Here is a 24,792-nt window from a genome sequence, read left to right as displayed (position 1 = left end):
ATCCAGTACCTGGCACTGGAGCGATTTAGGGCAGGGAAATATTGCCTTGCTGTGTGAGTTAGATGAAGGGGGTGGCTGGCAGTGTGAGCTTTGGAGTGGTTGGTTTGTACAGGGCAGGTGTGTTCACAGGCGAGTTGTTTACTATCTGTAGGAATTAGCTCTGGGAGGGGCAGTCTCTCCAGGATTAGTAAGATGCTCCAAAATGTCAAAGCCTCATAAGACACAGAAAATAAAAAGCATAATCAATACACTGTTGTTTGAAAAAGAAAATTGTCTTTGGTGTAAGTTTGATAAATGTTGCAAACTTTGTACTTGGCTTGAATATTTACAATACCTACTGGCATAGTTAAGGTTGTATGAAAGTCTTACAGTGAAGGAAACTTTTTTAACACTTTAACCCAGAGTTTCTTACATTGATTTGACCATTTACAGCCAACTCCTATTAACATTAGCAGAACATTAATGCTATAAAAGCATAGTTTGGTAAATACCTTCCTTAACCAACTTTTCACGTATTTTAAATTAGGTGATTTATATAAATCTGTGATTGAACATTAAGCAAAACATACACTCTATACATTTTATGCATTGAAAATAATCTATAATGTTGCAAAAAACATACCATATGCATTGGGATATTTCTGAACAATTCTAACAGAATCTTTCCCCATGCAATGAAATGCATGAATACATAATCAACAATTTCCAAAATGGAATCTTCTGAAAGACATTTACTATGCAAACCACTCTTTCTCACAGACGCAGAGTGTATGTGCAAATCAATATTGTTCACCTATTATAGCAATTTCTATCATGCTAACCCTTATATCTGCTTAAAAAGATAGGAAAATGATCCTTAAGTTTAAGAACATCCAAAATGTGGCCATTGAGGATTCAGAATCATGCATTGCTAGAAATAACTTTTGCCTAAATTGGACCTTCTACATATGCAATGAGACCTGATTCTGTATTATTTCATGTACTGCTAAGCCTGTGTTTCTGCCAGTGAATAATTATTTTGAGTTATTAGAGGGAAAATGAAGCATAACATTTGCATGATTTCCCTCAAACTACAGAATTGAGTCGACAATTTACAATTAAAAGGGAAAAAATCATCACACAAAATATCGAGATCTGAAGACAAAGAAATGATATTGTTTCCTTTTCTCTTCTTCCCAAGACTTGCTGACCCAATTATTAATTTTCCAATAATGTCATATGTCATTCAAATGGCCAGGTACTGGTGTGACTTTTAGTTCTTTCAGAGTATCAGGGAGTGAGATGCCATCTTCAAATCTAAAATAATCCAGCTTCAAGGGGGAAATGGAGTGTGGGGAAGTTGATTACCTGAGATTTGGAGTTAAACTGGAGTTGAGAGAACTTTCTTCTTGTCATGCCTTTCCCCAAAGAAGTCTGTTTATGGAGGATAAAAGTGAGGGCTCACTTAATTAGCTCATGTACTCATTCAATAAATATTTATTATGGACCAACATATACTAGGTACATGATGGAAAACAAAGAAATTCCCTGTGTTATGGAACAAATTTTGAAGTGGAGACAAGTAATAAATAATTAAGCATGCAAATAAACATGAAAACATATAGGAATAAATGGCACACAGAAAGCACTTTAATATGATGGCAAGTGACTTATTAGCTACTCTAGTTTCAGTGGTTGAGGAAAGTCTCTATAAGGATACAATTATTTAGACTAAATAAGAAGGAGCGGGGAAGAACATTCCTCTTGAATTTTTTTTCAAAGTACTAACACTGAGCAAGATCTTTTTTTACCCCTGAAATGAAGTCTCACTCTTGTCAACCAGGCTGGAGTTCAATGGTGCGATCTCGGCTCACTGCAACCTCCGCCTCCCAGGTTCAAATGATTCTCCTGCCTCAGCCTCCCGAGTAGCTGGAATTACAGGTGCCTGCTACCACTGGGCAAGATTCTTTATCATGTGAATGATACTGCAGTGTAAACACCAACTAAAATAAAATTTATGGTGTTTGGAGATGAAAATCAAGCTAACTTGATGTTTAGAAAACAGTCCCCACATGAACAATTTATTGGGATGTTGATGATTCTCTATGCACTTTGAGTTTTCTGTATAATATAGTTTTTAGTTATCAATTTTCAGTCTTACTTTCAAAGGTAGTTGTTACATACCCATCTTCAAATGCTTAAGAGTGAGTTTGTTTCCTTCAATTTGGGAGTTTAGGAATCTGTGACCATCTATGTCCTTTATAGCAATGATTCTCAAATTAGGTAGCATCTTGCTCACTTAGGAAATTTGTGAAAATATGAATAGCTCATGTGTACCCCCTGTGATTCTACTAAGGACTATATTTCAGTGCATGGGACTCTGGGCTTTTATTAAGAGATTGTTTGCTATGTTTCTCTGAATTACCCTCAAATTGAGAGAGCCACACAGTGGGTCAGGAGAGCTTGGGCTATGGGTAGCTGCGTGCAGAGAAAAGAGTTCTGTTAGATAAGGGGAGCTGACTCTCAAATAAACCTGGTTATTATGCTAAGTTAAGGGGGATCCACTGCTTCAGTGCTCCTCTGGAGGGATTAATGGAGGTCATAGGTCCTTCAGACATGACTCAGAGGCCTGTTGGAGGAGGCTTTGGGCTCCCGTGTTTTCACAGAAACGCTCTTTACTGTTTTATATTTTGTGGTTACATGTATGACTTAACTAAGTTAAAGATTCTGCTTCTAAATAGATTAAATACCACCGAGCTATGTGGTGAAGAAAGAACCAGGAACAATTATTTCCGAAGACCCGCTGAAGTCAGATTCATAAATAAGATTCTAGATGCCAGAAATCATAGGTGAGATCCTGGGAGCCAGGCTAAATCTCCACTTGATCTTAGCCAAAAGGCTGAGAAATGATCAGGCTAAATCGCCAGGTCAGGCTTGATGATGCTTGGTTAAGACAATGAATGCACAGTTACGTTTTCTTTGCACAGAAAAAGGTAAAAAGGGTTAAATTGTGACTAATCGTAATAGTAATTCCCATTTATTAAGAAACCATGACATTTCAGGATTGCAAACGTTATGCAATTTATTCCACATAACGAATGTTTGAGGAAGATATTAATATTTTCACTTTCCAAGTGTGTAAACTTGAGTTTTAAAATATTAAATGACGTGTCCAAAGTCCCCTGGTAGATCAAGGACCTAAACTGAGGTCTGTGTGGTTCCAGAGCTCGTATTCTTAATCACAGCTTTCAATCAGACCCTACCTTAGAAAAAACAGAGCTCTTTGCCTGATTTCATTGGTGAGAATTATAGAAAAGGTGATGAAACCATCATGATACTTATCTCCTTACCATCACGATACTTATCGCGTTTCCATCATAACTTCCGTGTAGTTTGAAAATTAGTCTAGATGGGCCAGGTGCGGTGGCTCATGCCTGTAATCCCAGCACTTTGGGAGGTCGAGGTAGGTGGATCACGAGGTCAGGAGGTCGAGACCATCCTGGCCAACATGGTGAAACCCTGTCTCTACTAAAAATACAAAAATTATCCGGGCACGGTGGTGTATGGCTGTAGTCCCAGTTACTCAGGAGGCTGAGGCAGGAGAATCACTTGAATCTGAGAGTCAGAGGTTGCAGTGACCTGAGATTGTGCCACTGCACTCCAGCCTGGGTGACAGAGCAAGACTCCATCTCAAAAAACAACAAAAAAAATTAGTTTAGATGAACCATCTCTAATAAAGATGAGAAGATGGAGAAAGAGAATACTTCTTTATTCTCCATCTATCTCAGATTCTAAGAGGCAGTCCTTGCTTGAAGAAAAAGGAAGCAACGTAAAAAAATCAGAGCAGACAAGCGACCTGTCAGTCAGATAATGCCAGGAGAAGAGTGGGGATGGGCACATTGAAGCATGAACAAATCAAAGATTTAGAAGTCTTTCCAATTTTACCAAGCCATACCAAACCAAACCAATTAATTTAACCTACTCTTTGTGCTTTTACCTTATTATTGCTCATAAACCAGAAAAAATATTCTGTTGCTTCCAGTGATTTACACTTTGCTGTGAATGCTTTTAAAACTGAAACTGTCCCAGACAGAAATGATGGAGGTCTGCTTCCAAAAGTGTCTGGGGCCAAATAAAGACCCATTCAAGTGTGTCATGAATTTCTGACTTCTTACCATCACGATCCCTGCATGGGTAGCTTCATCTGTCATTCTGATTTAATAATTTATTTAGGGCGATCTCATATACTATAAGTGAGTCCAAATACATGGTGAGTCCAAATACAACCAAAACATCATTTTCCTCTAATGACTATATAACTGTATTTTTAGATTTAGGCACATTTAGAGAGAGTTTTATCGTGTATTACTGATTTTTTTTCTCCAAAACAAAATTAAATGTAATAATGCTGTAACTGCATCAGATGCTATCAAGAGGAACGTGTACATTAGCTTCTTCCTTTGGAAACAGGAATTTTCTGGTACATGTTTGTTTGAATATCAATCGGCACAAATCAAATATCCAAAATGTGTAATATACTTAATGATAAAAATACCTAACTGGGGTTGTGAGCTTCAGCAAATAAATAAAGCTTTTCATTGGCCAGATTCCAGCCTTCAGTGGGTGGAAACTCTTAATGTAATTGAGAACTAAATAGCATTGGAGTCTATGGTTTTTCCCATTCAAGTCTTGGCTTAGCTGCTGACAGTCAATTTTTGTGCCACATAACCTAATTTTTCTCAGACAAAAGATAGCAAATCTGATGGCTAACTTTTTTCCTGGAAGGGTATGTAAGAAAACTGTTTATATAGAATCCGGTGTCTGGCCACGTTTTTAACTGATGCTTGTCAATGACTCAACAGTAAGAAGTGAGATTCAAAACAACCTCAGGGATAATCTCATATCTAGAGCATTAAATTGTATTACAGATATTCTGAGGACAGAAATAATAAACTGCCCCATTATATGAGGGATCCATTTTCCTTGGGGAACATCAGGAATGAAAAGATTCCTATGCTACATTGTTTTAAACACCAGTTTCTATGTCATTTATGAATTGGCCAATTCTTCTTATAAAGGGCCAGATGATGACCTTTTTTTTTTTTTTTGGTGTTGCAGGCCACATATAGTTTTTATCTCATCTTTCTCTATTTTCCTCCCTTCCTTCCTTTCTTCCCTCTTAAAAATGTGAAATCATTCTTAGCTCAAGGGTCATATAAAAACAGTCTGTCGAGCTCTTAATCCTATTTACTTTTTAGGGGCATTAGGTCATAACAGCACTCGGCCTAGAAAACTGCTCAGTCAAAAAGCTAAGACAGGGTGAGGATGCAAATGTGATTGATGAGGTTTATAATTAAGAGGGGGTTAGCTTCAAAATTCTGGATGACTGAATGCCCACCAGATGTTTCTATTTTCTCTACCTACTTAGCTGTGACTATGACTTGGGCAAACCAGAGAGATGAAACACTTCTAGGCCCACCCATTGTATTTTTGCTGTCATGCAAAAACTCTCTGAATCAAAGGCAGCGCCAGTATTGGAGTGGGCAGAATTGTATTCTCAGTTCTCCATTCTTTCTAATAACCTTAATTTAAAAATATGATAAATGTATGCCTCTCCCCAACCCCATCTTATGGAATGAGCTGCAGAAATGTAGCTGAAACTTCTAATCAGAAGCCAGGCTAAGAATGTGGACTGGTCACATTTCTCAGCCTCATGGTTTGATTGATGATATATTTGTCCATTTTGAAGAACAACAGAAATGATGTGTAGGTTAACTAGTTTGAATTATCTGTCTCCTTCTGCATTTGTACAGATATCTGAGTTGGCTGTGATAGAAATAAAGAAATAATATCTTTAAGTTACCTACATTTCTGGAATTTTTTTTACATAAGAATAATTTCAATTACATTGTCGGTCCTTATAATACCTGAGTTACCAAAGGATCACTTTTTAAAACAGTATTAGTCACCAAATGAACCATTCACAAAATGAAGAACAGTTAAGTTCCTTGAAGCTAAACATTAAAGGCCAGAATGGGGCCAACACTGATAGTTTGCTAACTCTGTGAGAAAGAACACAAGGAATATAGAAAAATCATAGTTTTGAAAAATAAAAAAAGGTATGATTGAAGAATATGCAAAGGTTCTCATTTTTAAAATATCTTATATTCAGAAAATGCCATAAGAAATAAATTTATATTTTCCCACCAAGAAGTTGGATATCTGTTAGGGCATTTGATGCTTTTCTTTTTTAAAACTTGCATGCCAACAAGTATATTTAGTGCAGAGTTTAACTTTCCATAAAAATCTTTGGGTTAAAGATATTGGAGAGTAGGAAAAGGGCATAGCTACCATCCAAATACAGATGTTAGGGTCCCAGCCAGATGGCATTACTTTGATACCTCCCTTCCTGATTTTTGGATCAAATCCCTTGTCCCAGCAGATGTGAATAGACATCATAATACTGTTACCATTCTCAGCTTGGTAATAAAAGACAGCCTTGAAATTCAAGTAGCCCTTTGCCTCTGCATCAAACTTAGCTCTCAAATACCTTCTTGATAGTAAACATAATGTTGAATAATTCACACCGTGTGACTGAACCTACTTGGGATGACACAGAGGGGCAGAGCTGTATGACTAAAGTTAAATCAGAAAGTAGATATAAAATGATAAATAATCTTTCCTTGTAAACACAAATGGCATTACACTGAAACACGTTGAAATTATATGGTATTTGCCCAGAATGTTCTTGAGTTTGAGGAAATTTACCAGAATATCTGTCAATTACTCCTAACTAAGCCATGCTAACCAACGCTTTGCCTTGGAATGTGTATTCAAGAGAACAAAAACCCAGCAGTCTCTGTGGTGGAAAGCAGCAGTCTCCAGTTAACTTTAGCAGAACCAGGTGCCCAAGTGACTCAGAAGTGATGGTATACAAAATGAAAAGGTATTGTCAACAACCATTACAAAAGAAAGAGCTAAACAGCTTAAAAGTGGAGTACAGAAAATAATAAAAGGAAGAAAATGTCTGCCCACTCAAAGAAAAATGCACTCCATGATCTTAATTGCTCACAATTGAGAGTTTAAGCATTCATTATTTAAAAGTTAAGTCTTTTATGCATAAAAAAATACAGAGAAGGCCTGAGCAAAGTGTTAACAAGTAACTAGAAGCACTTCTTAGCCTCAAATTACCTATGAGGACAACGTATATTGAGCACAATTGGGGGAAAATATTTTAATTACTGCATGACATGTTCTTCATCCTTCTACTGATGGATTGATTATATTTGTGTTCCAGAAAGAGGCCCTCAAATTATGTAATTGAATATCCCTGTCTTCCCAAATAATGATGCTACCCTGAAAACTTGATCTGGAAGTAGAAAATTACTTTTTTTTTTTTTTTGAGTGGCCAAGCACAGGAGCTCAAACAATTCTGCCAATAATTGCGATGTTGGTAAGTCAGTACCTTCACCAGTTTTACATATCTCCTTCCATATGAGTGAGACATGGGCAGATTGGTGTGTTAGAAAGGGTCCTGGGTCAAAGTTTCAGGGGACATGGGATGTAAGACTAGACCATCAGGAACCCACTGAAATGCTACTGAGAAAATTCTGTCATCTCTTTCCATCTATCTGCTTCATTTTGAGCGAGGATGTAATAACTGCCCTCCCAGAATCAGAGACGTACAGGGTAATGTACCTGGACATCATCAAATGTGTACACAAAAAAAGTGCTCTAGAAATATAAAAGTAGGGAATTGTTCCACATATGGCTTATACGAATCTTTTCCAAGAAAAACAATTCCTGAAATGTTCCTTGGAATACTCCTTTGGACATTCTGAACTTGGCATCTTCTCAGTCTACCTGCTCTCCATCTTTTCCAAAGAAAGCATTATCCTATTGACCTCTGTGTTAAGAACATCATTCCTAATTCACCAGTGAACCCTTCAGATCTACTACTAAAGTATGCCCTAAGTCTGTCCGCTTCCCATTATTTCCACAACTAATGTCTTAGTCCTGACCTCATCACATCTGATAAGACTCACCTGACTGTTCCCCTTGCTGCCACATGTAGAGAGAGTACAGTCTACTTTCCGTAGAACAGTCACAGCAATCCTTTAAAAACAAAAAGTCTTCAGTTCAAACCCTTACTGGTGACTTCCTCTCCTGCAGAGAATTTTATCCTTTGTACTAATAACCCCCACAGCAGGGGGTGACTAATGACCTTTTCTGTATGGCCTGCAGGTTAGGAATCATTTTTCCAATTTTACATGGTTGTCACACAAAAATTATATTGAATTCAAATTTCAGTGTGCATAAATAAGTTTTATTGCAAAACTGTCACATTTACTCATTTATAGATTGTGTATTGCTGCTTTCATTCACACTAAAACACAGAATTGTTGATCCATAGACATTATGGTCTGCAAAGCCTACTATGTTTAACTTTTTGGCTTTCTACAGTTTGTCAACTTCTGCTCAGATTGGGTGACTTCTCTTTTTCTACCATTCACATTGTTACTCTGCTCCCACCATGCCAACTTACTCTGTTAAGCTTGTTTTTGTTATGGTATTATTTTGTCTTTTTTCCCCCTTTTTGTGGAGAATGGGATCTCACTATATTGCCCAGTCAGGTCTTGAACTCCTGGGCTCAAGCTGTCATCCTGCCTCTGCCTCCTTAAGAACTGGGATTACAAGCATGAGCCACTGCTCCTGGCCTATGGTACTATTTTATATGTTGTTTCCTTTTGCCCTTGGATACTATTTCCCTGAATATCCAAGGACTTCTTTCCTCACATTACTCTAGAATTTAATTGTTACCTTTCTGAGGGAGGGCTTCCTTGACCACCTATAGGAAATAGCACTGTTATAAAAATAAGAAGAGGACACAAGTAGTAGTTTGTTTCTGAAATATAATCCCGGGTTTGTCTGAATTCAAACCCTTCCCATTTAGATGTTGAACTTTTTCACTGTTAAGAATCAGTGTTAAATATCAGATATTTAATAGTCAATAGCTCAGATATAGTTTAGAGGACAAACTAGAAGTGGAAAATGACATGATTCTCTTTTTCCCAGTTCTTCCAAGAGCTTAGTGTGTGACTCTGGACCAATAATTTAGTACAATTAAGCCTCACTTTTTCTTTCAATGACTGAATAATTATTTCCTTTGATCTGCATAGTAAATATAATGGTTAACCATAGGCATAACCATTACATGAAACAAATGACTCAACGAAAATAGCAAGAACAACCAAACATCCCCAGAACACATTAAGCATGTATCATTCTCATCAGGATTTAATTTTACATTCTTAAATCCCAGACTATTTAAAAGGCGTGACTGTCTTTACAAAAAACTTGCTAAGGGTATATGTAACAATAGTACTTGTATTAGTTTCCTAGGGCTGTTGAAAAAAGTACCACAAATTGGGTGGCTTAAAACAACAAATATATCACATCGCAGTTCTACAGGCCAGAAGTTCAAAATAAGCAGGTTAGCAGGGCACATTCTTTCTGAAGCCTGTAAAGAAACTCTTACCTTTTCCTAGATATTGGTGGTTTCCTGGAAATCTTTGTCTTTCCTTGGCTTGCAGTGGCATGTAACTCTGGTCTCTGCCTTCACTTTCACAATGCATCTCCCTGTCTCTGTCTTCACATGGCTATCATCTTTAAAACACCAGTCTGATTGGATTAGGGGCCCAGCTTACTCCTGTATGATTTCATCTTAACTAACTGCATCAGCAATGACCTTATTTTCAAATAAGCTCACATTGTTAGACAATGGAAATTATGACTTCAACGTATTTTTTGAGGGGAGGCACAATTCAATCCACAACAGTACTCATAACATCAGGCAGCACAAAGCTGAAGCTTCAGGAGTTCGCAGTGTCAGAAATGAGATCCTGCAAATATGTCCATAGCATCTGGATATAGAAGAAAATTCATAGAAGAACCCATAGAAAGGGAGAACCCCAAAATAGGAGTAAACTCTTTGCCTAAATTCTAAGTTGCCAAATTACATGGGCCTAGGGGAAACCTCCAGGAGGCCAGACTAATAAAAGCAGCATTTGTGAGCTATATGAACAGAACAGATATATTAGTAGCTGCACACCAACGAGAAGACAAACATTGCATTAATGTCCAGGCAAATTAATTAAATACTGTAATAACAGAGCAAGAATTCTCAGACGATTACAGAATTCATTGTCATGACAGTGGATTACCTTCAATGTCTAGTTTACAACTCAAAATTACTAGACATGCAGAGAAACAGGAAAGTATGGGCCATAAACAGGAGGAAACAATAAATAGAAACTGACTCACAATGGTCACAGATGTTGGATTTAGCAGACAAAACCTTAACAGCAGCAATTTTAAGTATGTTCAAATAATTTTAAAAAGTAATATGTAATCAGTAGAAAGAGAACCTCCAGAGAATTAAATTTATAGAAAAATTATAAATTTGAGAACTAAAAAATTTGATAAATTTTAATAATTTACCAGAGAAACTCAGCAGATTGGAGATGGCAGAGTAAAGTATGAGTAAACTTGAAGATAAATCAATACAAATTACCCAATTTGAAGAATAAAGAGGATACACATTGATAGAAAAATAACAGAGCCTGAGAGGCTTGTGGAAGAGTATCACTCAGGCTATCCAATATGCAACCGCAATTCCCAAGAAACAAGCATGAAAATATTTTGAAAAAAATAGTTACAGAATTTCCCCCAAATTTGGCATAGAACATTTAATTCAGATTCAGAAAACTTAATGAATGTCAAACAGAACTAAAACAAAGAAAACTATTCGTAAGCACCTTGTAATTAAACTGCTGAAAGCCAAAGAAAAAAAAATCTTGAATTCAGCTAGAGAAAACACACACATTAATTACAGGAGAAGAAGGCTTTGATTGACTACTAACTCTCCTAAGAAATTATGGAGCCTGGATAATATTGGAATGACAAAGCAAATGGCTACACATTTAAACAATTGGTCAATAATTAATTCTATGCTTAGTGAAGCTATCCAAAAAAGGAAGATGAAATCAAAACATATTTAGATAAATATAAAGTGAGAAAATTTATTACCAGGAGGATAGCATTCCAAGTAATGAAAAAGATGTACATAAACATCTTTTATATACAGGCTATATCAACATATTTTTTTCTCTTAAATTCTTTAAAAGAGAAATGATTGTTTAAAGCAAAGACAACTTATTTGTGTTTATATTGTAGATACAAATGACAAATATTATTATATATATAGCTCAAAAGCCAGAAAGTAAATGGAAATATACTTTTGGAATGTTAATGGCATTAACTCTGAGTACATTGGGTTAAGTTTAAAATGAATATTGTAATCTACAATATTCTACTCAGGAAAAGAGGGATACTTTATAATAAAAAAATGGTCAACACAGCAGTATAATGTAACAATTATAAATGTATACACACCTAATAACAGAGCTTCAAAATACATGGAACAAAATCTGAGAGAACTTAGGGGGAGAAATAGACAAATATTTAATAATAAAGATTTTATACCACTCTCAGTGACAGATATGATCTGCCCTCAAAACAAAACAAAACAAAACAAACAGTAGGAAAATGGATCATAAGGACAGTACCAACCTAAATGGAAATAGAATACTACATCAGATAACTGTGGAATACTCATTCTTTTTATGTACATCTGGAGTTTTCATCAAGATAAGCCATATGTTGGGACATAAATCAAAATATATATTGATTATTGGGCATATTCTCTGATAAATGCGATTAAATTAAAAATCAGCAATAATGAAACATCTAGAATGGCCCTAAGTATCTGGGAATTAAATAATACTCTTCTCAAAAATCAATGAAAAAAAGCAATTTCATAAGAAATTAGACACTAAAATGAAATAAAATTTAGAGATAAAGCTAAAGTGGTGGTTGGGTGGAAATTTATAACTTTAAAGGTACATATTAGAAAAAGAGAAAAGTACTAAATTAATTATATAGGTTTCTACCACAGAAGGTAGAAGAATGGATTCCCAAAGCTGTCCATGCTTTAATCCCTGAAATCTTTAAATATGCAATACTAGATGGCAAAAGAAAGTTTGCAGATGTGATTAGTGGCATGGACTTTGAGATAGGGAGATTATTCTGGAGTATTTGGGCGGGTCCAGTATCATCACATGGGGCCTTAAAAGTGGAGAACCTTTCGCAGTTGAATTAAAGGTAGGAGATAGAAGAATGAAGAAGGGAACTTTGAAGTGTAAGAAGTATTTGACTCAGTATTCCTGCCTTTGAAGATTGAGGAGGAAGTCTACAGGTCATGGGATATGTGTGACTTCCAGAAGGTGAGAATGACCCTCAGCTGATAAGCAGCCAAGAAACAGGGATCTGAGTTCTACAACCCTAAGAAAATGGATCCTTCTCTAGTGTCTTCTGAAAGAACTACAGGCCTGCTGACACTTTGATTTTTGTCTAGTGAGATCTGTATCAGACTTCTGATCTACAGAACTCAAAAAGAGGAAACTTGTATAGTTTAAGCCACTAAGATTTTGGCAATTTGTTATGGCAGAAGTGTAAAACTAATAAACTCATTTTAAAAAAAAGGGGTAGAAGACACAAACTATTAATGCTAAGGATGACGGTAGAGATACTACTAGAGATCCTGTAATAATCAGGGGATAAGAGAATATGAATATTTTATGGCCATGAAGGTTGAGTATCCCTTATCTAAAATGCTTGAGACCAGAAGGGTTTGGGATTTTTGATTTCTAAAAGATTTTGGAATACAATGTTTGCATTATTCCTATGTACTAGTTCAGAATCCCTAATCTTAAAATCTGAAATCCAAAATTCTGCAATGAGCATTTTCTTTGAGCATCATGTTGGGTGCTCAAGAAGTTTTGAATTTCAGAGCATTTTGGATTTCAGATTTTCAGATTAGGGATGCTCAACCTGTACTTGGGATTACTCAGATGAATTATACAAGTTCTCTGAATAACATAAATGACCAAAACTAGTATAAGGAAAAATGAAAAATTTAATTAACCCTGTATCTACTAATAAAATTGAGTATTTAATTAAAAGTCTCCCCACAAGGAAAAGGCCAGGCACAGATAGCTTACTGGTAAATTCCATCAAACACTTAAGGAAGAAAAAAAATTACCAATTCTACACAAAATATTGCATAAAACAGAGAAGGAAGGAATACTTCCCAACCAATTTTATGACACTAGTATTACTCCAATGCCACACCAAAGACATTACAAGAAGGCAAGGTGACAACTGGTATCTTTCATGAAAAAAGACACCAAATTCTTAATAAAAGTATTAGCAAATCAGATCCTCAGTTCATAGAAGGACAATGCTCTTTCATTACGAAAACTCTCAGCAAACCAGGCATAGAAGGGGACTTCACCTCCTTTATGTGGTGAAGTCTCTGCATAAAAATACCTCATTCTCTACAGTGAGAGACTAAATGTGTTTCCCTTAAGACTGGGAACATGTCAAGGATGTTCACTTTCATTATCTCTACTTAACATTTCACTTGAAGTCCTAGATATTTCAGACAGCTAAGAAAAAGGATAAAAGACATACAGTTGGAAAGAATGAAGCATTTTGATCAAAAAGTTGATGGTGTATTTAGAAAATCCTAATAAGAATTTTAAAATATGCACGATAACATGGAAATTTGTTAAGATAGCAGTATAAGAGGTCAGTAAACAAACATCAATAATATTTGTATATTATAGCCACAAGCACTTGGAAAAAAATTTCACTTATTAAGACACTAAAACGTTATGCAAGGGGTCTTCAAAGTGTTCATGAAAAATGCATATTATGAAAACATTATGCATGGATTTCCATTTTTTTTGCACTGTAATAAGTTCATACTAACTTTTTATAAAACGTCTGAAGAGGATCTAGTTTGAGGCATACAAAGGATACAAGATGAGTTTGAAAAGAGCCCCTACTAGAGCAACATGAATTCCATGAAAACTGAAGAAAGAACAAACATCAAATTTAGAATGAAGCTTGGGTGGAAGAATGAGATCACTGATGCTTTATGTAAAGTTTATGGGGATAGTTACCCACATAAACTCACAATTTACAAATGGATAACTTGTTTAAAGGAGGGATGAGAACAGTGTTGAGGATGAAACCCACAGCAGCAGATGGTCCACATCAAATTGTGAAGAAAACATTTTTCTTGTTCACGCCCTAGTTGAAGAGGCCCAACAATTCACAGCAGGAGCAATAACCAACACCATAGACATCTCGAATGGTTCACCTTACACAATTCTGACTAAGAAATTAAAGTTGAGCAAACTTTCCACTCAATGGGTGCCAAAACCATTGTATCCAGATCAACAGCAATCAACAGCAGTGCTTTCAATAGAATTTTTAAACAAGTAGGATGAAGATTCTGAAGCATTTCTTTGAGGAATTGTAACAGGAGATGGAACATGGCTTTACCAGTATGATCGTGAAGACAAAGTACAACCAAAGCAACGGCTACCAGGAGGTGAAAGTGGTCCAATTACAGCAAAAGCAGACCACTCAAGAGCAAAGGTCATGGCAACAGTTTTATGGGGATGCTCAAGCCATTTTGCTTGTTGACTTTGTGGAGGGCCAAAGAAAGATAGTATCTGTTTATTGTATAAGAGTGTTTAGAGAACGCCAAAGCTTTATCATAGAGTCCTTCACCAAAACAATGCTCCTGCTCATTCCTCTCAAACAAGGACAATTTTGCAAGAGTTTCAGTGGAAAGTCATTAGGCATCTGCCTTGCATTCCTGATTTGTCTCTTTCTGCCTTTTTGTTTTCTAATCCTAAAAATTATTTAAAGGACACCATTTTTTCTTCAGTTAATAGTGTAAAACATGTTGCCTTGTCATCAGTTAAATTCTCAGGATTCACAGTTCTTTAGAGATAAACTAAGTGGCTGGTATCATTTCTTATAAAAGTCTCTTGACCTTGATGGTGCTTATGTTGAGAAATAAAGTTTACATTTTTTATTTTTAACTTTCAATTCCGTTTTTCCATGACCTTCTTGAAGTCCCCTTGAATATTTAGGAAAAATTTCACAACAATAGTGAAATACCTATGTACCAAAAACTACAATCCATTGCTTAAAGAAATTAAAGAACAACTACATAAATGAGGAACAACAGAAAAATTGTTTATGGATGGAGGACTCAATAGAGTTAACATGTCAATTTTACAAGTTGAATTTATATTCGATGCAATTCTAATAAAAATTTCACCAGAAGTTTTACTGGGGTAAATATTTATGAGCAAATTCTAAAATTTATATCAAAATGAGAACTTAGAAGAGCCAAAGCAATTTTTAAAAAGAGAAAGTTGGAGAATATACAGTATCTTTTTCCAAGACTTACTATAAAGCTAATCAATACAATGTGGAACTAGTGAAAGAATAAATGTATAAATCCATGGTACAGATCCCAGAAAATGACAAACACACCTACTGTCAAGTGATTTTTGACAAATAAACTAAGGTAATTAAGTGGGGGTAAAGAATAGTCTTTTTAGTAATGGTGCTGAAGCAACTGGCTCTCCATATGACAAAAAAATTGACCCTTGGTTTTTATTTCATACTAAACATAAACATTAGCTCAAAATGCATGATATAACTGTGTGTGAACACTGAAATTATAAAATTTATAGAGAAGCACTTAGGAGAAAAATCTTAGCATTTCCACTTTGTCCACACAAAAAAGTATGAACCGTGAAATAAATTTTTATGCTAGTATATTATAAGTGGTATATTGGTATATTGTGGTATGTTGGTATACTGGTGGTATACTGGTAATTTGGATTAATTCAAATGAAAGTATATTGTGCTTTGAAAACACACCATTAAAAATAATAGGAAAGTCACATACTGGGAGGAAATGTATTCCATACACTCATCTGAAAAGAGATGTCTATCCAGGAGAAAAAATAACTCCTACAACTCAATATTAAGATGACACATGGAGCCCAATAAAAATTGGACAAAATATTAGAACAGATACTTTACCATAAGCCAATGTGTTCATGAAAAGATGCCCCACATTATTCAATTTCAGGGAAGGTTTATTAAAACCACAGCGAGTTAATACTACATACCCGTTGGAATGGCTAACACTGAAAAGACTGGCAATACACAAAATGTTGGCAAAGATACCCAGCAACTGGAATTCTCCAACATTGCGGGAGAAAGTATCAAATGTTACAGCCACTTTGGAAAACTGCTGGGTTTTTTCTTATACATTTCAACATATCTCTACCATATGATCCAGCCTTTTCAATTCTAGCTGTTTACCTGAGAGAAACACCTATGCCTACATTAAGGCTTGCACATGAATATTCATACAGCTTTACTTATAACAGTTCCCAAATGGAAAGTACCCAAATGTTCATCCACAGGTGAACAGATGAACAAACTATTGCTTATTTATATAGTGAAATACTACTCAGCAATAAAAAATCTACTGATGTATGCAACAGTATGTATGAATCTGAAAGTCAGTACGCAAAATGAAAAAGCCAGACACAAAATCCATACTGCATAATTCCATTTATATGACATTTTATAAAATGTAAATTAATCTATAGTGACAGAATACAAATCTGAAGGCCTGTCTGAAGGCCAGGTGTGGAGGCAAGAGTCAAAGTGACACAAGAAACTTTTGTACGAATGGAAACTCTCTGCAGCTTGATTGTTGTGGCTTCACAGGTGTATAAATCAATGAAAGCTCATCAGATTGCTCAAGCGGTACTTTAAAAGGTACATAGAAATATCAGATTATGCAACGTTGTTTCAGGAGAAAGACATTCTTGTTTCTTGGATCACATGTAAGAAGCATTTGAACAGATGCTAGAACAGCATTCTCAACATATACTCACTATTCTGTTGCAATTTTCCTCTACAGTCTTGGGGGCATTAACATGATAATGAAGAAAACAGAAGGTATAAAATCATGGGGCAGGTATAACCACACATCAATTCAACACGAACACAGAGGTTAAGACTTAGAGCTTGTTAGCTGGTAATTGTCTTGTATTTTGTTTAAACCACAGGTGGACAAGCCCGCCATAACCATCTCTTTTCCTTACAAGTTACCCATCTTCCACTAGGATGGAATAAAAGAATTATAGTGTTGGATGGGGTCATTTCCTCTTTGTAAAGATGAGGAGGATAGAGGACTAAGTAGATTATGAATGACAAAGGCAGTGGGTGATGAGAAATGAGACTTGATACCTCCTGACACCCCATTCAGCGCTTCCTGCCCATTTTTATTTTACAGTAAAAACACACAAAAATTACAGCTGTTAAGACTACTTACATCCATAAGAATTTTTTCAAAAAACACAGGAAATAGAAAACATGTGTGGCTATAGGTGAAGAATTGAAGCAAATGAGAGAAGCAAACATTATGTCAGCTCCAGACACTCAGAAATAAAGTTACAACTTTTCTTGATCCCAATAGCCTGATACAATGCTAAGGTCATCATAGACTAATTAATCAAATTACATTTTCTAGTCTACCTGCTGCATTTCTTACTACATTGTAATTCCCCTGATGACCAAGACATGGCTTTTTCGTTTTTCTTGTTTCCTGAAGATTCTGATATACTTCCTGTCACATAGTTGATCCTCAGTGAACATTTATAATAAATTGAGCAACTGTCAAATGTCGTATTTTCAGGGAGCAATCCGTATACTTTCATGTTGCCTTTAATGTTTATTCTGGCATTATATATATTTTTGTCCATATGTCTGTGTGTAAAATAACAATGTGTATTCTCGTCAGAAGGTATTTTCTATTTCAACACCTGTGCAAGTAGAAGGTGAAAATCCTTCCCAAATGCCGCAAGAGCTCATGGCAAATGCAGAACTATTGTTAAGAAATTTTTCTCTTGAGCCTGTAATGTCATAGCACTTCAGTGAGGGCAGAAGAAAAGACAAACTGATATTACGTATCCTTAGGTAAAAGGATTTGGGGCTATTCCTGACTCTCTATTGAAAAAATAGGGTAAAATCTAACTAACATAATTTCAGTGTTATTCAATGTTTTGTTAATGGGGGAAAGCATCATTTTAACTACAGCAATCTATAGTGTTATGGACTGATTACTAGTTCAAATGACAGAGTCCTACAGTGAAACCCATAATTTTACATTGCGTTCTGCAAAAGATGATGGCAGTTCTTCACATTTAATGGTGTTGCTAGCTCAGAATCTTGTTAACACTCAGAGTCTGAGAGGTTGTGCTTATCCTTTCTTATTTTAAGCCAGAAGGAAAAATTTTCAAAGATCTATTGGCCTTTGTTTTTCACGTACGGGATTTTGGTCAATTAGAAAATTACAAAGAAGAGGCACCTCAATTTGAAAATTTGAGAATAGAATGATAAAATTATAAAGAAATGAATTTTTTTCCACAATAAAAAAAAAGACAAGTACTGTGGTTTGACTTGCGTTTAGCTCTTTGTAGCTATTTCTAGTCACTGATTCTATGGAAAGTCGCTAAGGAGTTAGTCGCTTGTTACTGGGCAACAATTTATTCCAATTATAACTGAAATGTTGCTAATAGACAGTTACCGGTGGATAAGAACAGACTTTAAAAATGAACTATTAACTCCACAGCATTTTCTCTTGTTGTAAAGAGGCAGAAATTATTCTAACAATTGACACTTTGTAATGTTCTAAGGTCTTTTTAGACATTTCAAGCGCTCTGGGGGCACCGGTGAGGACCCAGGGGCGGCATGGTTCAGAGCTGTTAAATATAGAGCGACACAATTAGATAGAATAGCTATAGAGACCCGAGACCAAATGTTACCAGCGTATGGAATGCCACATTCTCTATAAGATGCAAATAGCATACAACCTTCAAAATCCATAGGAGTTTTTTTTTTTTTTTAGAAAAAGGTTTTAATGGACATTTGGTAACTACATTCTGTTTTTGACAACCTCCCCATTACATTTCTAGTTATCTATTCAAAACCAAAGGACAAAAAATAAAAAAATAAAAACTACACCAGTTTACAAAGAACAATGGGGCGAAAGCAAAATGTATTCCTTGCTGTTTCACACGTGCTTTTAAAGGAAACAAACAACCAAACAAACAGAGAAATTGTAGTTCCTAAGTTTCTTGACCCAAATCCAAGCAGACTCATTGACAAGCCTAAACCTCTCCGTGTGTCTTCCTGCTTCTGAGGCTAAAATATGGATAAGCTCAAAGTTTGACACATGGATATATTTTCAAATGACATGTTTAGTGTACAAAAAAAGAGATGTCTATGTTTTTTTCTTCTTTATAACATTAAGATGTGATGTAAAATATAGTAGCCAGAGTTGCATTTTTCACATGAGCAAAAGTTACATGCAGAAAAAGAACAGAAGTTCGTTGATTGTAGGATATGTAACCTTGAGAACTTTATCTTATAGCCAACGGTCACACATTCTGAAATGTCTTAAGTGATCTGGTCAGTGCTAAAGGTAGTAAGAAAATCTGGTTGCTGAAAATTTACACTATCTAATTTCAGTTATTCCCCCACAACAGAGTAACAGGCAAGCACATTCTCAGCAGCCGTTCCAGGCAGAGTATACACAGAAATACTTGTTGAATTTAATTGGGTTGAATAAAAATTTGTCCTTTTGAGGAACAAAGTTAGCATCTCAAATACAAGGTCTGCAAATGATGTAGGTTCTTCTTAGTTGGCTAATGAACTCCTGACTAGTTACAGATGAAAGGGATTAAAATGACTTTACTGAGCACTCACTTTAGTCTGTTTCATTATCTGAACTAAGGAAGTCTAAGACAATTAGGATTCCTTAAAAAAAAGTTTCATCATTGCACTTCCTGTTTGATGAGTAAACAGCAGACTCGTTATGGTCTGCAAGGTACCTATTAAAACCCGTAACATCCCTGGAAGGAAGTAACTTGGAGAAAGTCAAGAAATCTTTCTGACAGGACACCGCAACTCCAAACAATCAACAACTCATTGTCATAGTGCGACAATCTTAGCCCTGTTGCAACTGGGCAAATAGTCCATTTGCAGAGAGAAGCATCATCGGGGTAGACAGGAATGCTGTTATTAACCATTATAAGTATGACGCGAAGGTCGTACATCAGGCTATTACACCTTTTCATTATACGCTAACCCCTCACGGCAGGGAAGCCACGCTTATGACTGCATTAGACAGACAAAGCCTTCAGCTCTTTAAAAAAAGAAAAAGCAAAAAAAAAAAAAAAAAAAAAAAGATGAAAAAAATTAAACTCGTTTTCTTACCAGCACGTTGCAGCACCAACTCGCTCACAGGAATGTTGCCTTTTACAGGTTTCTCTTTTAATTATCCTAGAAGCAGGGAGAGAAAAAAAAAAAAAATCAAAAAAAAAAAAAAAGGCAAAGAAGAAGCAGGGTGGTTAAATTAGCGTGCTGGAATCTTTTCAGTTTGTCGCAGAGTAGAAAAATAAAAAAAGGAAAAAAAAGGCTCAGTAATTTAAATTTGCTCTCAGTTCAGGCTGCAATGCTGGGTCCCGCCCCTTCTTCCGGCTGGGTTCCACTACCTGCAAGGCTGGAACTGACAGCCACTGTGCAAACAAAAAAAGGCAACAAGCATGCTGGGACCATTCTGTCTGCTGTTTGGGTCTCACTTGTCCTGACAACTAAAAATCATCAGTGGAAAGGTATTCTACATTTTTTATTTGAGGTATTTTATTTGAGGTATTTGCATGTAACTCCCATTCATTTTAATTGATACACCATAGTACATGATGTTGGGTTTGATTTCTGTTTGGGGTGTAATTTTTTTTCTTTTTCTAAACATCTATAATTATTAACACTATTTTTACTATGACAGTTTAGTGACATCTTGTGCATTTCTTACTGTTCCTGTCTCCTGCTCCAAAACACATTCTTTCCTGTCTTTTCCTTTAATTCCTAAACACTGAAATTTCTGGGAATATAGAGATGGAAATACCAAGATTAGTAAGGTTTCCACTTCTGCTCTGACTCTTTCTTTTTTTGGGGATGGTGGGAGGGCTACAGGGAGGTGCATCATACTAAGAATAGTTTAAGGGACAGAGGGCCTAGGATGAAGGTCCCATCAACCCCAGAAACTTCTAGGAAGGATGAAATATTCAAATGAAAAAGTCTCCACAACGAAATGCAAGAAGTTTATTTTCGTATTTATGTATTGTGCAAATAACTAAAAATAATGGAAATAAACTTGGTCTCCATTGCCAATTTTACCTAAGGTGTCTCCTATAGAAAACCGCTTTAATTTTAGCAAGAAAAACCTGATACTTAACGTGCAGGGTATTGCGAGTGTGTAGCAGAGGAATTATGAAAGAGAATAAACCCCATCCTTCTTCTGTCAGGATGTAAATTGCTTGTGCAGAATTTTCAACAAGGTTTTTTTTGTGTGTGTTGTTGTTCTTTTCTAAATGCTCTTTTCAGACGAGTGTGTTAGCGACTACTTCAGTATTAAAGCTATCGGAAGACTGTTGTAGTAGGGAACATCTATAAAGTTGCCTCTTGATCTGAAGCACTGCTTTTATGAAGGTTTATGGCATTGGTGCTCCTATGCAAGTCTGGATTTTTCTCTGATCATCCGACTACCCTAACTTGAGAGGACCATGCTGACTGATGTGTCATGTCCCATAGCTGGGGGTGGGTTGCTAAGGAGTAAAATATATAATTGTACACAGTTCTTCAACAGTGGCCAAAGACACAGAAGAGAGTTACTCTTGATAACATGATTGTGCTTAATCTACTTTTTAAAATAAACTATTATTTACCTCTTATCCCTACCTCAAGCCATTTAAATGGATTTCACCATTTCTGCACAACTTGCAGAACCTCTTAAATTCAAGGACGCACTGCTTTAATGCATTTCACTTTTAAAAATCAGACTTTCAAAAGATAAATGATTAAAAATGTAATTTAAATAAATATGAGTTCACTTTTTAAATTGGTAAAAATTTAGCTGTCAAATATTTGTTCTGTCATTTGAGGTCTCATCAAAAAACCAAACCAATTAAAAATGGAAAGGTCTGAGATGCACAGAGTGAAACTCCATCTTTGTCTTGTATTATAACCTTTACCAGGATTATTTCTCTACTACTGTTCAGCAATGAATGCCTTTGCTCACTTCCTACTAACAGCTGTAGCATAGAAAAAAAAAAAGGGCAGGTCAAGTACTCAAGAAGCCATGTTAACTTCCCAAATAGTTATGCAATCAGCTTTAATGAAACAGTGGTAGATTACACCAATGTGCTAATTATAGGACTTTGTCATAGCATAAGATGCAACGAAACAACCCATGCCTTGGCTTGGAAAGTGCTATGCATAGATTATTTCAAAAGATTTAATTGAAGAGAGATTTTATTTTCCTGAAGCATTCTACAATTAAGTGGCATTCTTTCAATCCTTTCTCTTTTAAGACTAGTTCTGGACAAAAAAAAAAAAAAAAACAAACCTGAAAATAAAGTAATGACTTAAAAAATATCTTACTACAAATATGACTAATTTGCCAATATTAGTTACTTTGGTATAATTTTGAACATAACATACTTAGAACATGTTAGGGAATATCAAAATATACAGAGTGGCACATACTGGTTTATATTCTGAATGTCTATTTTAAATGAAGAAATAATACTTTTATGTTCATCAATGTTTATTGAGTTCAGTTAGAAAAATATTAATTTTTTAAGAGACTGAGTCTCACTCTGTTACCCAGGCTGGAGTGTAGTGACATGATAATGGCTCACTACAGCCTCAAAATCCTGGGCTCAAGCCTTCTGTGAAGGTGGGGCTACAGGTGAACACCACCATGCTTGCTAATTCTTTATTTCATTTTTTGTTGAGATAGGGGCCTGTGTTGCCCAGGCAGGTCTCAAACTACTGGTCGCAAGATAACTTCCTACCTCAGCTTCCCAAAGTCCTGGGATTATGGGAGAATGTTAATTTGAATTAAAATAAAATAACCCTGACATTAAACTTAAGAGAAGGGACATTTTTGTTTGGCTAATGTCAACTAGGTTTTAGCAAATGTGTGAGACATGTGATTCCACTAGATATTTAACCTATTATTTCAGAGAATTTTACTTGGTGCTGGAGAGATTAAGCAATATATTACATATCTCACAGCCATACTGGAAAAAAAATCCACTTCAAAAATAAATATCCCACTAAATTGTTAGGGCATTCTGTGGAGTGATACACATTTAGGTGGCTTTCACATCATGGAGATGTGTTTTAAAGAAATACACTGAACAAGTTTCCTGGAGATATATTTTAAAGAACTTCTTGGAATTGGCATATTGTCATATGCTATTTAAATTTTCATGCTCAGAGAAAATATCGAGGTGGGAAACGCTAATTCATTTTTTAAAAGCTGTATCAAATCAATACATCTTAGTCTTTCCAGTTATAACTGATAATTAAATATCATTTTCAAACTTCTTGCATATATTAAAATTATTACTTTTTGATAAATGTATTCCTCATTATGAGTCAACTGTCTTCAGTGTAATTTTACTGTTTTGTCTTTTGGGCAGTATCATACTGTCTAATAAATCATATGTTGTGGCTGTGATATCTTATTGACTACAATAACTCATGTATAGTTTTCCATTTTAAAAGAATTTGAAAAAATTGTTTGCTTATGTTGTACTGCTTAGCTATCATAATTAATTAACCCCTTTATATCTGAGTATTCAGAAAGTATTTTCTCAGTGCTGCCATAAAAATGGTCTTCTACTCATGTTTGGAACCACGTCCTCATCATTGAATCAATTGAAGTTTATGAAAAGTCTAATTTGATTTTTAAAACATACACAGACACAGAATTCTTGATTTTAAGGAGATGTTCACAATAATTTCTTTGTGACCACGTAGGTAAAGAATTGTGGGTGATATTATCTGGGTATTTAGATCGCAAAGAGATCAAAACAGACCCTGATATTTGGCCTAAGACAGAAGAAAGACCATGAGGAGGCCTTAGACCTCAGCAGGCCATTTCCATCTTACTGTCGTATTCTTACACAGACAGGAAAACGCACCGCAGATGAACTATGTTTTTCAACTGAACTCAATTCCGAAATACAAGGTAGCTCACGTGCGAATGGCCCACACGGAGAATCAATGTCCCTGTACCATTGATGCTGGGTCTATGTGATACCTGAAGTTTCATGGCATTTTATTAATTTCTATTTCTAAACTAAAAGTGCACCCTGCTCTGCTAAAAGGCACAGAAAACATACAGAATGTAAACCGAGAACATGGCATGCCACAGAAAGTATAAACAGAAAACCCTGACTTAGAGAGACATGTAAAAACTAGAGCATTTTACAGACACGCCCACTACCTGGCCAAACTGGATGCAAGAATTTGGAAGTGCATATTGGAAATAAGCGAAGTTTTCTTACAAGTCAGCTGATAAGAGATTTGACTTTGAGAACGTTTAAGCAAAGATGAAAGCTCAAGGAATTGCAATATTGAGGTGAGAAAAGGACGGCACAGGGGTGATGAGATGGATCAGTAGAACACATTCAGCGCTCAGAGAAGGGGGTGACTTCTCACTTGGGTAACAAAGTGGAGAGCAGTACACTCCCTGTGGGAGATGGGAAAGGGGTTGGCGATTGGGAGTAGTGAGTGATGAGGAGGTCAGTTTGTAACAAATCCACCTGAGAACACTGTTGGACAAAGTGCAGGAGATGGGATATTTGGGTCCAGCATTCAGAGAAGTTACCAGTGGAGAAGCAATGATGATCAGAGTCATGGGAGTACAACAGAAACCACAGA

At 35.8% G+C, this 24,792-nt stretch overlaps 1 protein-coding gene and 1 long non-coding RNA gene across 10 annotated transcripts in view; one reads left to right on the top strand and one right to left on the bottom strand.

Annotated features, from left to right (window-relative positions):
• Nucleotides 1-20,308, bottom strand: part of CELF2 (CUGBP Elav-like family member 2) — an 874,126-nt gene extending 853,818 nt beyond the window's left edge. For all 9 annotated transcript variants that reach the window (XM_047424494.1, NM_001326323.2, NM_001326320.2 and 6 more), the window contains exon 1: nt 20,272-20,308. The gene's annotated coding sequence lies outside the window, so the exon portion shown is untranslated. The remainder of the gene's footprint in view (nt 1-20,271) is intronic.
• A 200-nt stretch (nt 20,309-20,508) lies between these two features.
• The window catches only part of CELF2-DT (CELF2 divergent transript), a 42,812-nt gene continuing 38,528 nt past the window's right edge, over nt 20,509-24,792 (top strand). The window contains exon 1 of the long non-coding RNA NR_120637.1: nt 20,509-20,669. This is a non-coding gene — a long non-coding RNA (CELF2 divergent transript). The remainder of the gene's footprint in view (nt 20,670-24,792) is intronic.

This window comes from Homo sapiens, chromosome 10 (assembly GCF_000001405.40).
Source record: "Homo sapiens chromosome 10, GRCh38.p14 Primary Assembly".
NCBI lineage: Eukaryota > Metazoa > Chordata > Mammalia > Primates > Hominidae > Homo > Homo sapiens.
Note: the sequence above shows the minus strand (reverse complement) of the source record. Positions and strands in the feature narration are given on the sequence as shown.